We start from the raw sequence: 15366 nt of genomic DNA on the forward strand, positions 1-15366 counted from the left end.
GCCACCGCGCCTGGCCGGAAAAGTAGATTTCTTAAACATAGAGACTTGCTTTTAAATTGTTTTATTACAATTAAAATTACACAAAAGCAAATCGATTCATTTCAATCAAAATAACTCATGTTTACATATTTATAACTGTACAATAAAATATATAAAATGTTTTCATATTTCATACTTCAATCATCATCTTCTTCCTCTTCATCGCTGATCACATACTTCTTATGCTTTTTATTTGCTTTATCATCATCTTCTGCTTTTCTCTTTCCGGAAGGTTCACCTTCCTAAACAGATACAATTTTTACAAATCTACAAGTCAATAAAGAACATTTTTAGGATGGTTTATGAAAAGTAGCTATGAGCTGAATGACCCTCTGACAACTCAAAGTAACGGTTCCTGCAGGTTGTGAGGGAGATTGTGAGGTGTCAGCAACTGTGAACTAATCTCTCACAGGGAAACCTTTGAACACAGAGTAGGATGTGCAGGAAACTGGAGACAGGATTTGCCACAGAAGGGGCGGGGCTCTCCCGAGGAAGTTCTGCCTGTCTAACCACTGGTCCTGTCAGGATATTTTTACCATGATCAGGTAATTTCTCAAATTTTTTTTCTCTGCCTCCTCAGCATTTCACTTCTTTTCATTATCTAAAATTCAGTATTTTAAAGACTGTTGATTTGGTTTTTTTGGAACAATTTGTTTCAATGCATTAAAAACATCATAAAGGTTTTTAAGAAAATATTTGATGACATTAAAGGGCATCTATAAACAAGTTTCCTCTGTTTAAAATCATTCTGTACAAACGTTCTAACAGAAACAAATAATTTAGGAAGTTACCTAAAAAACATTTTTTACAGATAGATAGAATTTGAACATGTCAGTATCTAAATATCAAATACTGATTAAAACAAACTGACACTAAATGGGATGGGCCGGGCATGATGGCTCATGCCTGTAATCCCAGCACTTTGGGAGGCCAAAGGGGGTGGATCACCTGAGGTCAGGAGTTTGAGACCAGACTGGCCAACATGGCAAAACTCCATCTCTACTAAAAATACAAAAATTAGCCAGGTGTGGTGGCGCACGCCTGTAATCCCAGCTACTCGAGAGACTGAGGCAGGAGAATCACTTGAACCCAGGAGGCGAAGGTTGCAGTAAGCTGAGATCGCACCACTATACTCCGGCCTGGGCAACAGAGCAAGCAAGACTCCGTCTCAAAAATAAATAAATAAATAAAAATTAAAAATTAAATGGGATGAACAAATGGTTTGAAGGTTGAAGTTAGGGAAAGCCAGACATCTTGCTGCTGTGACCACAGGCTGCTAGATGGAGAATGCAACCTGGTATGCCCACTTTTTTCTGATGGTTCTCATGGCTGGCCCTCTGACAGACAAGATAGCATCTCACACTTGTTTCCTGCCTTATTATCCCAAATACATTCCCACAGACCTGAAAGGCCATAGAATTCAAAGGGGGGAAGTTATGAATCCACAGTAAGGTATTTAGAGAAGTCCTCCTCCTCCATTTACTTCCCAGCTGACAGCAGTGAAATACCTAAACAGCAATATTGAAAGATGGACCCTGCCCCCAAGAAGGGACAAGAGCCCCTCCTTTCTATTCTGCAGGCTAGAGCAAACCCAAATACTCCCAGCGCCACAGGCAAAGAGCACATTCAATCACACTACTTGTCTTTTAATTTCCAAAGGAAAAATCTTAAAACGTTTTACATGCAATCACTATTTTTTGGTAACCTTCCAAAAGTGAGCCTTGGTGTGTTTGTCTTTTCAGCTCTAAAATCCTTTAATGAGATGAAATTTGAATCACTAAAAGAACTAGCATGGTAATTCTAAAAGATGGTACAGCCTGTCCTAAAGGCCCCTGGACAGCAGCAGCCAGGAGATGGCCAGGGCTCTCCCAAAGAAGTCTCACTGGCACCAGTCCTAATCCATCCTCTGGAGTAAGAAGCTGTGAAATTCTGCTTTAGAAAGCCTGCCAAGGACCGGCCGGGCGCGATGGCTCACGCCTGTAATCCCAGCACTTTGGGAGGCCAAGGCGGGCAGATCACGAGGTCAGGAGTTTGAAACCAGCCTGACCAAGACAGTGAAACCCCGTCTCTACTAAAAATACAAAAAATTAGCCAGGCGTGGTGGCGCATGCCTGTAATCCCAGCTACTCAGGAGGCTGAGGCAGGAGAATCACTTGAACCCAGGAGGTGGAGGTTGCAGTGGGCAGAAATCACACCACTGCTCTCCAGCCTGGGCGACAGAGGGAGACTCCGTATCAAAAAAAAAAAAAAAAAAAAAAAAGGTTGGGCGTGGTGGCTCACGCCTGTAATCCCAGCACTTTGGGAGGCCGAGGTGGGCAGATCACGAGGTCAGGAGTTCAAGACCAGCCCAGCCAACATGGTGAAACCCCATCTCTACTAAAACTACAAAAAAATTAGCCAGGCGTGATGGCGGGCACCTGTAATCCCAGCTACTTGGGAGGCTGAGGCAAGGGAATTGCTTAAACCCGGGAGATGGAGGTTGCAGTGAGCTGAGACCACACCACCACACTCCAGCCTGGGCGACAGAGCGAGACTCCGTCTCAAAAAAAAAAAAAGGCCTGCCAAGGACTGACTTCTCTGGCAGCTACACATAAGCACAGAAAAACACAGCAAAGGGAATGGGTGCAGTGGCTCATACCTGTAAACGCAGGGCTTTGGGAGGCCAAAGTGGGAGGATCACTTGAGGCCAGGAGTTTGAGTGAGACCAACCTGGGCAACATGGTAAGACATTTTGTCTTTACCAAAAAAAAAAATTATAATTGCTACAAAAAAAAATTTTTAATAAAATAAATAATAAGGCCGTATGTGGTGGCTCGTGCCTATAATCCTAGCACTTTGGGAGGCTGAGGCGGGCAGATCACTTGAGGTCAGGAGTTAGAGACCTGCCTGGCCAACATGGTGAAACCCTGTCTCTACTAAAAATACAAAAATTAGCCAGGCATGGATTTGGAGGCTGAGGCAGGAGAATCACTTGAACCCAGGAGGCAGAGTTTGCAGTGAGCTGAGATCGCGGCGCTGCACTCCAGTCTGGGCAACAGAGCAAGACTCCATCTCAAACAAACAAACAAACAAATAAATAAATAAATAAGCAAGCCAGCCAGCCAGCCATCACACAGAGCAAAGGTATATAGTTCCTCAGACTCCCAGGACTTAGAAAGGTGAGAGAATCCTTCAGGATGACTTCATTTTTGTGAAATTACACATGTGGGATGCTGCCTTACTGAACATAACTGCAACAGATCCCAGTGTCATATATAAATGCAGTAAATGACAAAAATATTTTTATTAAGTCTAAAAGAAAGCTTGCTAATACAGTCATGAATGCAGGTCCCTGTAGATACAGAAAAAGACAGTCCACAGTTATGAAGATAAGGCAGGGTTGTCAAAGGGGAAATGGAGTCTCAAGAGGGAGAGCTGGAGAAAGAGACACAGAGGGGAGGCTGCCTGACATCACATTCTGAGTAATCCTTCACAGAACGTACCTGTTTTGTCTAAGAAAGCTGAGGGTTGGCCTTGATACCTCTCCTTTCCACTGTCTCCATGTTTCTTTCAGCTTGGGTCTTTCCCTTTTCCCAGACTCCTGGAGAACAGAGTACCGGCACACACTTTCTCCCCCTACCTATTTATCTAGATCTTTGAGGTAATTTAGATTTTGTAAAGTTTTAACTACTTAAAAAAATGAGGGAGAATAAAAAGCTCTCTTTTACATTTTTCTTCTTTTTGGTAACTTAGACTCTGTTGGAAAAGGGGAAATAGTATTTCTTGTTCAGCTACTACATATTGTGTTACTTTCAAATCTGTTGTTTTTAATACTGTAATGCAACATTTTTACAAGACAGCGAGTATAAACTCCATTGATCAGATGAGGAAATAGAGATATGAGATGACTGGCCCAAGGCCATACAAGTGGGAAAGGGTAGCACCAAAATCGATGCAGTTCACTCTAATATAGACTGGCCCTTGCCCCCATTTCAAGGCATGCTATGATGATAATGGTGTTCTCTGGACTGGGGACCTGGGGTCTGAAAACTCCCTTTAATCTCAGAGGCATACCTAGGCTCCTGGTGTTTGAGTGGGCTTTAGTGTGCAAAGCACAGAGAGGGACTTAGAACAGGAATGCTCCCATTCCTTATTCCATTGTAACCCATTACCAGGACTCAAACTAGGGTACCATGAAGAGGCAATGGCAGGGGTTGAGAGGTCCAGACGGAAGTAAAATTTTTGTTGTCAGGGAAGGAAAGGGAAGAGTGCAGGAAGACCTGAAAGAGAGTATTTGGGTAAGGGAGGTAGAGGATGGTTCCTGTAACAGCTAGGTGGCCATTCCCAAGAGGCATTTTTAAGTCAGGCAGTGTAGGTTTGCAACTGCCCAGCCTAGAAGAAGGCTATCTGATGGATCACTTAAAAAAAAAAAAATCACTTCTGAGAATACTAGGAATAAACAAACAGAAGTCCCATGACACTTCTCAATTTTCATTCACAGTTTCTACTTGCCAAGAAAAAAATAGCATCTGCTTAGATGAGGACTCACATTTGCCTGTTGTTCAGCACTGTAAATGCATCATTAAGATGTTGCCTCATCTAATTTAAAACAAATACGTTGCAGAACAATGAAACAAATTTTGGCCAGGTGCGGTGGCTCATGCCTGTAATCCCAGCACTTTGAGAGGCCGAGGTGGGTGGATCACCTGATGTCAGGAGTTCCAGACCAACCTGACCAACATGGCAAAACCCTGTCTCTACTAAAAATACAAAAATTAGCTGGGCGTGGTGGCAGGTGCCTATAATCCCAACTACTAGGAAGGCTGAGGCAGGAGAATTGCTTGAACCCAGGAGGTGGAGGTTGCAGTGAGCCAAGATGGCACCACTGCAATCCAGCCTGGGCAACAGAATGAGACTTTGTCTCAAAAAAAAAAAAAAAACCAAAAAAAAAACAACAAACAAATTTTGTCTAGTGCCAGGCACAGTGGCTCACGCCTGTAATCCCAGCACTTTGGGTGGTTGAGGTGAGAGGATCCCTTGAGCTCAGGAGTTTGAGACCAGCTTGGGCAACAAAGTGAGACCCTCTGTGTATAAAAAATAGACTGGGCGTGGTGGTTCACACCTGTAATCCCAGCACTTTGGGAGACCAATGCGGGCAGATCATGAGGTCAGCAGTTCAAGACCAGCCTGGCCAACATAGTGAAACCCCATGTCTACTAAAAATACAAAAAACTAGCCAGGCGTGGTGGCGGGCACCTGTAATCCCAGATACTTGGGAGGCTGAGGCAGGAGAATCGCTTGAATTCGGGAGGCGGAAGTTGCAGTGAGCCAAGATCACGCCACTGCACTCCAGCCTGGGCGACAGTGTGAAAATCCATCTCAAAAATAAATAAATAAATAAAATAAAATAAATTTAAAAATAGGCTAGGCACAGTGGCTCACACCTGTAATCCCAGCACTTTGGGAGGCTGAGGCAGGTGAATCACAAGGTCAGGAGTTCGAGACCAGCCTGGCCAACATGGTGAAACCCCGTCTCTACTAAAAGTACAAAAATTAGCCAGGCATGGTGGCATGTGCCTGTAATCCCAGCTACTTGGGAGGCTGAGGCAGGAGAATCGCTTAAACCTGGGAGATGGAGGTGGCAGGGAGCCGAGATCGCACCACCGCACCCCTGCCTGGGCAACAGAGTGAGACCCTGTCTCAAAAAAAAAAAGAAAGAAAGAAAGGCATGATAACAATGTATTAGCAAGACAGAATATCACTAAAGTGAGAGAAGTGATTAAAAAAAAAAAAAAAAAGGTACCAAATGGGAATTCTTACACTGAAAGGGTAACTGAAATGAAATGTGACCAGAACAGCACAATAGTAGATTTGAACTAGGATCAGCAGACTTGATGGATCGACAGAGATTATGCAATCTGAAGAACGGAGAAAACAGAATGAAGAAAAATGAATAGTCCCAGAGAAATGTGAGACACCACTAAACACACCAACATACACCTAATGGGAATGGCAGGAGAGGACAGAAAACAGCAGAAAAAATATTAAATGAAACAGTGACTGAAAACTTCCCAGATTTGTTGAAAAACATTACCCTACACATCCAAGAAACTCAACAAATTGCAAGTAGAATAAATGCAAAGAGAACCACGTGCAGATACATCACAGTAAAAATGCTGAAAGACAGAAAACTTCCTGAAAGCAGCTAGAGAAAAATGACTTGTCACATGCAAGGGAATCTCAAGACGATAAAGAGCTGGCTTCTCATCAGAACAATGGAGGGCAGAAGGCAGAGGATGGCATATTCAAAGTGCCAAAAGAAATCACCATTAGAAAGCTCATTTTTCAATAATAATAATGGAAGCCAAAAATCTCCTGAAAGAAAATTGCCCTAAAATTGCACAACCACTGAAAATGTTTCAAGAGGGTAAAATATATTTCAGATAAAGATACCAAAGAAGAAAATAGGAATTTCAGCTACATAGCTTTACAAAGGTACCAGTTAGGGTAAAGGATAGAAATAAGAATTTTTAAAAAATTATTTATAATTTTTAATTGCTAATAATCATGCTGTCTGGTACATTACTGATTTACTCCTGAATGAAACTTAAGGGAAGTCCTTATCTTAGAGAGTTTAGGCCTACTTGTCAGAGAACAAACTGAAATGGTCAACAGTCTGTTTCCATGTGCCTTTTAACAATTCCAATTTCATCACATTTTGAAATAGTAATGATATCTTCATAATATAAATATATACTTTTCATATATACTATGTGTAATAAAACTTTATATTAATTTATACACATGATATGATATAAAATTTTAACTTTACAGCAACGCTGAGAGAAAAATGAGGTTCAGAAAAGCCAGACATTTAAGATAAAAGATTTCAGTGGTAGAAGCAGGATTCCAACCTAGGTAGTCTTTTAAGACTCCAAAGCCTCTACTCTCTCAGCTCTGCTATGCTACCTTGATCTATAGATACCTGGGAAACAGGTAAGGCCATTATTTCACAGGCACAATCAACATACTCTCAACAAAGCAGTCAGTGATCCTACTAAGAGTTAAATCATATCTTCTCTCCTCTGCTGAAAACTTCCAATGAAAACCACTCAGAATAAAAAACCAAAATAAAACAGTCCATCGCAGTGGCTTATGCCTGTAATCCCAGCACTTTGGGAAGTTGAGGCAGGCACACTGCTTGAGCCCATGAATTCGGGACCAGCCTGGGCAACATGCTGAAACCCCATCTCTACAAAAAATACAAAAAAAAAAAAAAAAAGCCTTACAAATGGTGTGAGGCCCTAGGTGACCTGGCCCTATCATATTTCTGCCCTCTTCCTCTCACTCACAAGGCTCCAGCTTCAGCCTCTGTGCTTTCTTCACACATGCCAGGCAGGTTCCCACCTCAGGGCCTATGCACTTCCTAATTCTGCATGCAACACTCTCCAGAGAGCTGAAGAGTTCACTGTCACTACCTTCAGACGTTTACTCAAAGATCACCATTCCAGTGAGAGCTTCCCTGAACAGCATTTCTAAAAGTATAACATCCCAACTCCCAAGACCCCCCAGAGCATTCTCTATATCGTTTTCCTGCATAATTTGTCTCCTTATCACTTTTCACCATCTGTTATACCATATATAGTATTTTACTTTATATAGTATTTCACTGGTATAATGAAAACTTTAAATTTCTCAGTATCTCCACATCACCCAGTGGGGTGTTAAATACTCACTGGAGTGTTAAGAAAAAGAGGCCAGGCGCACTGGCTCACGCCTGTAATCCCAACACTTCGGGAGGCTGAGGCAGGCAGATCACAAGGTCAGGAGATTGAGACCATCCTAGCTAACACAGTGAAACCCCATCCCTACTAAAAATACGAAAAATTAGCCAGGCATGGTAGCAGGCGCCTGTAGTCCCAGCTACTCGGGAGGCTGAGGCAGGAAAATGGCATGAACCCAGGAGGCAGAGCTTGCAGTGAACCGAGATCACGCCACTGCACTCCAGCCTGGGCAACAGAGCGAGACTCTGTCTTAAAAAAAAAGAAAAAGAAAAATTCTCAGGGCCTATTCTCTTATAATATGAAAAAGATGCTGTTTAAAAATAAGATAAAATATTTTTAAATTATCTTGAAATAATTTATGTCAATAATAAATGAAAATTTATTTCAATTTATTAAATTACTCAATACAATTTCAAATACTTTTTGAGATGGAGTTTTACTCCTGTTGCCCAGGCTGGAGCACAATGGCGCGATCTCGGCTCACTGCAACTTCCACCTCCCAGGTTCAGGCAATTCTCCTGCCTCAGTCTCCTGAGGCTGAGAGTAGCTAGGATTACAGGCATGCGCCACCACGCCCTGCTAATTTGTATTTTTAGTAGATACGAGGTTTCTCCATGTTGGTCAGGCTAGTCTCGAACTCCCAACCTCAGGTGATCCGCTTGCCTCGGCCTCCCAAAGTGCTGGGATTAACAGCCATGAGCCACCATGCCCGGCCAAATACTGTTTCATCTAAATAAAAAGAAAATAGGTTTTCCCAACATAAGAATGAAATCATTTTCTTTTTTTTTTTTTGAGACAGGGTCTCACTCTTTTGCCTAAGCTGGAGTGCAGTGGTGCAATCATGTCTCACTGCAGCCTCAAGCAATCCTCCCACCTCAAGACTCTGGTAGCTGAGACTACAGGCACACACCACTACATCCAGCTAATTTTTGTATTTTTTTGGAGAGATGGGGTCTCCCTATATTGCCCAGTCTAGTCTCAAACTCCTGAGCTCAAGCAATCTGTCTGCCTAGCCCTCCCAGAATACTGGGATTACAGGCATGAGCCACTGCATCCAACCAAGAATGAATTATTTTCCTAATTTAAAAAAAAAATACTGAGAAGTTTTACAAAAAGGAGATACACCCTCTGGTCTACCACACTGAATGATCTGTCATTCTCTCTTGGATTAGCCTTGGTATGTCAGGGACCTGCACCTTTTCTTCCAGGCCTTTCCATCTATCCGGAGTGACCTACCAGAGACAGGACAGTTTGACCAGCAAGCTTCTGATCACTCTTCAACACCCAGCAAGAAGTCTTATCCTCCATGCAGCCTTCTAAGACCTCTCTAAGCACAGGTATCAGATCCTCCTCTGGATCACTCTGTCTTGTTACTGCATTTATCTCACTGGATTTCAGTGACGTGTGTAGACAACTAATTTGTGCCTGCCTGATCTGTGAGCTCTTCATTCAAAGCAGTTGGCTCCTGAGTACAGGATAAACCCCTAGAATTGAATAAATTTGGTCTTACCTCATCACTGGTAAGTTTCTTTGCTTTGAGTAATCTTTGAGCTTTATCTTCTTCTGATCCCTCATCACTGTCTGATGAATAGATTCTGGCTCGTTCCTCTGAAAGCAAAAGTACAGATTGTGAGTCACCTTTTTTTTTTTCTGAGACAGGGTCTTGCTTTGAGGCCCAGGCTGGAGTGCAGTGGCACAATCATGGCTCACTGCAGCCTTGACCTCCTGGGCTTAGGTGATCCTCCTGCCTCAGCCTCCCAAGTAGGTGGGACCACAGGTGTGCACTACCTACCCATGCCCAGCTGATTTTTTTTTTCTTTTTAGTGGAGATGAAGTCTTGCCATGTTGCCCAGGCTGGTCTTGAACTTCCTAAAATCAAGCGATCCTCCTTCTTCAGCCCCCTAAAGTGCTGGGATTATAGGCGTGAGCCACTGTGTCCAACTGTGAGTAACTTTCAAAGACAGTGACCTATTCATTCTTAAATGTTTTCTTCTGATAAATATCTTTAGTTCCCTCTGTATATTTCCTCCCAGGGGAACCAAATAATTTTAAAGTTTTTGATTTAAAGATAAGTATAAATTTTAGATATGCGGAAATGAAGCAGACTTACCCTCTCAAAATACAAAAACCTGACCACTTTTAAAGATGAAAAAGGTTTGTGTGCAAGGTGTCTAAAGAGGCAAGATACCCTACTCTTACGAAGTCAACTATTAAAGCCTGAGACATTCTTCCACCAGTAACAGTTAATTCCAAAATGAGTTTGAAGGTAAAGCAAGAAAGTGGTTTCCTGGTCCTGTAAAGACCGTTTGTTGCCAGGCAGACCTTTCAAAGAGAGATGTAGAGGGGCGCCCATCTGCTCCACTGCCCAAGCCCAGGTGAACCTCTGGGTGGAATAAGAGCCGAGGACTTTAGACCAAGCCCCTCCCGTCAAAACCCAAAGCCTTCCCTTTGTCCCCACACCTTGCCTATCTGATTACTGTATGGAACTGAGCACTACTAGACTCATGTGCTAGATTTTTAATCTCTGGTGACCTGAATGTTACACACCTCTCTCTCTTAAAGCATCCTTGGATTTTTAAAATTTTTATTTAATTTTTGTGTGGTTTATTTCCACACAATTGAATCTTTTTCTATGGGAAATCAGCATTGACAAAAAAGAAAGGGTCTCTGTACTGTGGTCCCCAAATAAATAATAGGTAGGTAATATGTAACAGGTCACCAGACCAAATGCAGTCACTATAAGAAAAGGAGAAATGAGTTTCATGGGACAGTCAGAGAAAAATAAATTTGGGTGTTTTAAAAATTTACTTGTTATATGCCAGGCTCTGGGCTAAGTACTTTAAATGTATTATATTATGTAATCTTCAAAACAACCTTATGTTCTAACTACCATTATTAATAGGTTGTTTTTGTCACAATGAGGTAACAGAAGTTAAGGGAAACTATGTAACTCTTCAAAAGTTATACAACTAAAAAGTGGCAGGACTCAGATGAGAGCGGGCAGGGTCAGAAGGCCAGCCAGGTCTTCTTAGTTCGCTTTTCACCATGTCGTCTTGCTACTGGCTTGGGGGAACCCCTGGGTAAGAACCAGGTGGATGCAGAGTCACGGCTGGGACAGATGTCTCGGAAGTCAGATGACTTTGGTTTAAGAACTGACCAGTTAGCAACTACGTGCCTTTGGGCAAATTAGTCAACCTCTCAAAGTCTCAGTTTCCTCAATAAAAACAAGGAAATAAGAGCAACTAGATCATAATGTTGTTATGAGGATCAAACAGGATGCATGTCAAGTGTTGAGCATTTGCCTGAAATTCAGTATGTGTGGAAAAAACGTTAACCATCAGAAATCAGTGATACTTGTGAAAGGAGGAAATATGCAAAAGTAAATCTAAGAGAAATGTAGAAGAAGAATGAAAGAAAATATCACATAATTTCTGAATAGTTTAATTTCTTGATTCCCAATTAGGTAATAAAAAAGGTTGACAAAAGTTCCAGTATAACTGGCAAATTCTCAAGTCAGAAAGCAAAAGCTCAAGGGATAAAACCCAAAGTAGGAACAACAGCAGTTCCTACCTTTCAAGCTCACCTGAATGAACTAGGTCACTCATGACAACTCGTTCTTTAAAAATAAAATGTCCGGGCTAGGCACAGTGGCTCATGCCTGTAATCCCAGTACTTTGGGAGGCCAAGGCGGGCAGATCACTTGAGGTCAGGAGTTTGAGACCAGCCTGGCCAACATGGTGAAACCCCGTCTCTACTAAAAATACAAAAATTAGCCAGGTGTGGTGGCGCACACCTGTAATCCCAGCTACTCGGGAGGCTGAGGCAGGAGAATCACTTGAACCCAGGAGGCAGAGGTTGCAGTGAGCCGAGATCACACCACTGCACTCCAGCCTGGGTGACAGAGCGAGACTCCGTCTCAAAAAAAAAAAAAAAAAGTCCAGTGACTTGGCAGCCGGATTACATCTAATGCCAAGATGAAGTCCAGAATCCCGAAATGATGAAATGTAATTTCCATACACGACTCACCTCGAATGCCCCCTTTATATCGGTTTTTAATGGCAGCCAAGCTGATGGACTCCTCGCCTTCCTCCTCCTCATCGTATCGATCAGGTTCCAGGTAACTGGCGCTCAGCCCCCGCTGGTGCTGTTTCTCTCTCATTCGGCGCTGCTGAGATTCCCTACGTATGGAAGCCCTCAAACGTTCTTCTTCTTTCTGTAAAGAAGCAAATAACCTCTTTAACCTAAAAAGGAGCTACTTTTGTGCCCACTTGAACCCACTTTTATTACAAATAGCATGTAATGTCTGGTCCAGATAACAGCTGTGCCGTGTGTGTTCCCCATCCCACCTCTGTGGCTCCACAGGGACCCTCTGGTTTGGTTTGCAGGAGCAAAGGCAACACAAGGGTAAAGCGGCAGAAGGGAGCCCTGACACTAACCGGCCCAACTGGCATTGGCACAGGTGTGTCCTCGGGAGCTGTGCTGGTGTTCTGTGCTGCCACTTAACCCAGAGAGAAGCAACCCGCCTGAGAAACCCCATTCATGCCCAGCAGAAACCTAAATTGACTCCCTGGAGCAGCAGTGGCTGTTCCTGTTCATCCCTGAACCACAGACAACTGATCTGCCCCAGCTCTACCAAACTCCCATAGTTCCCAGATATTCTGGTCCCAGCCCCTCAGCCCCTCAACCCAGAGAGCTCCTCACGGCTCCTGATGACAGGTTGGGGAGCGTCCTAGAGCCACAAGGTAGACCTTTCATTTCCTTTGCACTGCCTGGCATTCTGCACCTTGATGTTAAACCAGGTTGGGGGTAGGGGTGGTGTTGGAGTAGGTTTCAGGGATATTCTGGGATTTCTTTGAAGGTCTTCCTCATCCCGTTGCTCTGTATTATCATATACAACTCCAATTATATTGCTAGAAATTCTATGGAACAGATTGTTTTAATAGTATGTGGCTGTACGGAGGTTAGAGTAAAAATCACTGTCAGTAGTACAGGGACTAAGAACAAACCAGCTGACTCCTAGTCTACATTTTCACAGGAGCTGGGGACATGGAGGAGGGTGTGGGGAGATGCTCAAAGTGGTTCAAGAGCTTCTCCAATAATGCTGAGACTGGAATCTGCAGGTTCCTCCAGTTCCCTTAGTCTGTACAGAAAAGGTGGGGAAATGGAACAAGCCCAGCTCCAAAGCAAATGCCGCTATATACCACTAGGTTAGGTACTGCTATTAGATCTGGTTTAATCTGTCTCCATGAACAAATACAGGATGGAGGAAAAAGCAAGGGCTCAGAGCCAAACCTTCAGCAGAGCCTGACCATAAGATTTGTAAGAAAGGCCCTGAGGTAACTGGACTGTCTTAGCCTCACCATGCCCTGCTTCACTAAACAACGTAATCACAAGAGGCAGGGTGGGCAAAGGCCAAAATCTAGTAGGGATTAGAGAAGATGGAGAGGAGAAATGATGAGCCTGTACTACTGCATATGGCTTCTCAAATCAAGTGCTGCAGGAAAGGCCAATAGCCAATATGAGCACATGCTCTATCGATTAGGTACAATGCCCCAAATAAACTTGTGCCTAATTAACAGCTGGGTCAAATTTGAAAATATACCAGGTAGAATGTTACAAATTGACCTTAAAAACTCATAAGCTCGTCTTATTCTTTACCAGAGTCTACTTTAGGCACTCTCTCATTCAAACTCCTGGTCTATTCTCTATTTTACACTACTCTCTAGTATCTCCACTGACTTCTGACATGGATTCTAAACCACACATAGATGACTTAATGATCTTTGAACTTATACATGAAAATTCAGATATTTCAATCACCGGTTTGTTGCTGAACTCTCAGGGCCTGGTGAAGAGAGAACCTGAGCCCTGTTTCTGTTTTACTATCATTGCCACGTCACCAATTGTTTGGCAAATGCTGAGGAAATGAATCCAGCTCCCTATTCATGTCAGTTGGAAGAGGAAAAGGTAGGCCAATAAGAGATGACGAACAAGCATTTTGGGAAATACTTGCCTAATATACCAAAGAATCCCAGGATAACGCTTAGGCTTAGCAAACATACCTTAATCATTTCTGTGCGTTGGCATTCAGGATCACGACCAGCCATTGGCAAGATTCTAATCTTCTGTGTCTTTGAACACCTATCTGCAAGTGACAGAGTCATCTTTCTATGTGTGGCACTGTCCGTAGAGTGAGGTCTGCCAGGAAATAAACGAAGAGCATATCACTGTTTACCAAATACATTTGTGAGCCAGTGATACCCACGTCACAGAAGTAAGAGCCCAGTGACCATTTCCTAGTCACCTGAAAAAATAGGCAGAGACACTCGACTGAATATACCAAGGTGGAAGATTGTGAGTTTTCTTCATTCTGTGGCTCACTGAGACATTCTTATTCCACAAATGAAAAACAGAAGGTTGGAGTAAAAAAGATTGTATGGCATGATCACCTTCTAGAAGCAATAAATGGATACGCTCAAGCAACATTAATTAGATACTACAGGTTGGTGCAAAAGTAATTGCGGTTTTTGCCATTACTTTTAATTAATATTAATATATTAATATTAATATAATTATCCTATTTTATAGATTTAGGAAACTGAGGCAAAAAGAGGTTAAGAAAGTGGCACAAGGTCACACAAGTAGAAATGGAATTCAAATATGAGTCTAACTGATTCCAAAGCCTGTATGTTAACCTTTATAATTTCAAAAAGCTAAATCATAACCAACATTATTGTGCCCCCTCTAAAGATAAGCATTACCCAAAGAGGATGGTCTGCTTATAATCAAGAAAGAGAAGCATGAACATCTCAGTGCAGCACATACTCAGTCTAGAGAAGGAAAGTGCCCTCACCAGCTGAGTATTCCTGTCCTCTTGGGGGACACACCTCTGCAGTGGTATTAGATGCCGGGGCCTACGGCACTGAGATGGCCCGTCTCACACTGACCAACTTGCTGGCTTTCCTTCGATTGCATGCACAACAACAACCTCTAGTTATTAGTCTCCCAGGTCAATTTTACTAAAAACAAAGGACACACTGGCTAGCAGACACACGTATTTTAGGCCTCTTGGCAGTTATAATAACCACTGGAATTAAATACATTGACATTCTGGTTTACCTAACAGTCTCTTGTAAGTCTGGTTAGCATGACCTGGTTCCCTAAGAAACAGCAACTTTTAGTGTATTTGACAAAATAACCTTTGAACCTTCAGAACTATGCACAAGATCTTGGTTCTTGCTGAATCATACCGTGGGGTTACATCAATCAGGTGGCAGGCATTACAGAAACATCTATGTTTCACTGCTTTTACCATAAGAAATAATACATAATAATAATAACAGTTACCTGAAGGTGAGTTTCGTTTTAAAGACTGCTTGTCCCTGTAGACCAGTACCTTGTCTTATAAAAAGATGATTGTGGTCGCCCTGCAGTGGGGCTTTGTACACATCAAACACTTCATTGCCTAAATGCAGGGACATGCTGGAAAGAGAAACATTTCATCTATTAAAGTCATAAAGCTTTCACTCTACCATCTTACTTCACTTAAAGGTGATTCAGGCTG

At 42.7% G+C, this 15366-nt stretch overlaps 1 protein-coding gene and 1 long non-coding RNA gene across 9 annotated transcripts in view, besides 1 other annotated feature; one reads left to right on the forward strand and one right to left on the reverse strand.

Annotated features, from left to right (window-relative positions):
- Positions 1-9316, forward strand: part of LOC112268148 (uncharacterized) — a 28155-nt gene extending 18839 nt beyond the window's left edge. For all 3 annotated transcript variants that reach the window (XR_007064635.1, XR_002957717.2, XR_007064636.1), the window contains one exon: positions 9011-9316. This is a non-coding gene — a long non-coding RNA (uncharacterized LOC112268148). The remainder of the gene's footprint in view (positions 1-9010) is intronic.
- The window catches only part of LEO1 (LEO1 component of Paf1/RNA polymerase II complex), a 33754-nt gene continuing 18433 nt past the window's right edge, over positions 46-15366 (reverse strand). For 2 of the 6 annotated variants that reach the window (NM_001286430.2, NM_138792.4), the window contains 5 exons: positions 15150-15284; positions 13865-14000; positions 11829-12015; positions 9313-9410; positions 46-281 (listed from right to left, as the gene is read on the reverse strand). In NM_001286430.2, coding sequence (NP_001273359.1) covers positions 177-281; positions 9313-9410; positions 11829-12015; positions 13865-14000; positions 15150-15284 — 661 coding nt within the window. In that variant the 3' untranslated portion in view covers positions 46-176. Of the gene's footprint in view, positions 307-3521; positions 3620-8174; positions 8532-9312; positions 9411-11828; positions 12016-13864; positions 14001-15149; positions 15285-15366 lie in introns of those variants that run through there. The other 4 variants (NM_001323903.2, NM_001323904.2, NM_001426598.1 and 1 more) reach the window with 4 other exon arrangements.
- Positions 9011-9224: a silencer, noted in NCBI's record as "fragment chr15:52239187-52239400 (GRCh37/hg19 assembly coordinates)". NCBI's record gives its function as "represses an EF-1alpha promoter that drives an FKBP-Casp9 reporter gene in an ReSE screen in HepG2 liver carcinoma cells and K562 erythroleukemia cells {active_cell/tissue: HepG2 | K562}" and the evidence as "EXISTENCE:reporter gene assay evidence [ECO:0000049][PMID:32094911]".

Source organism: Homo sapiens, chromosome 15 (genome assembly GCF_000001405.40).
Source record: "Homo sapiens chromosome 15, GRCh38.p14 Primary Assembly".
NCBI lineage: Eukaryota > Metazoa > Chordata > Mammalia > Primates > Hominidae > Homo > Homo sapiens.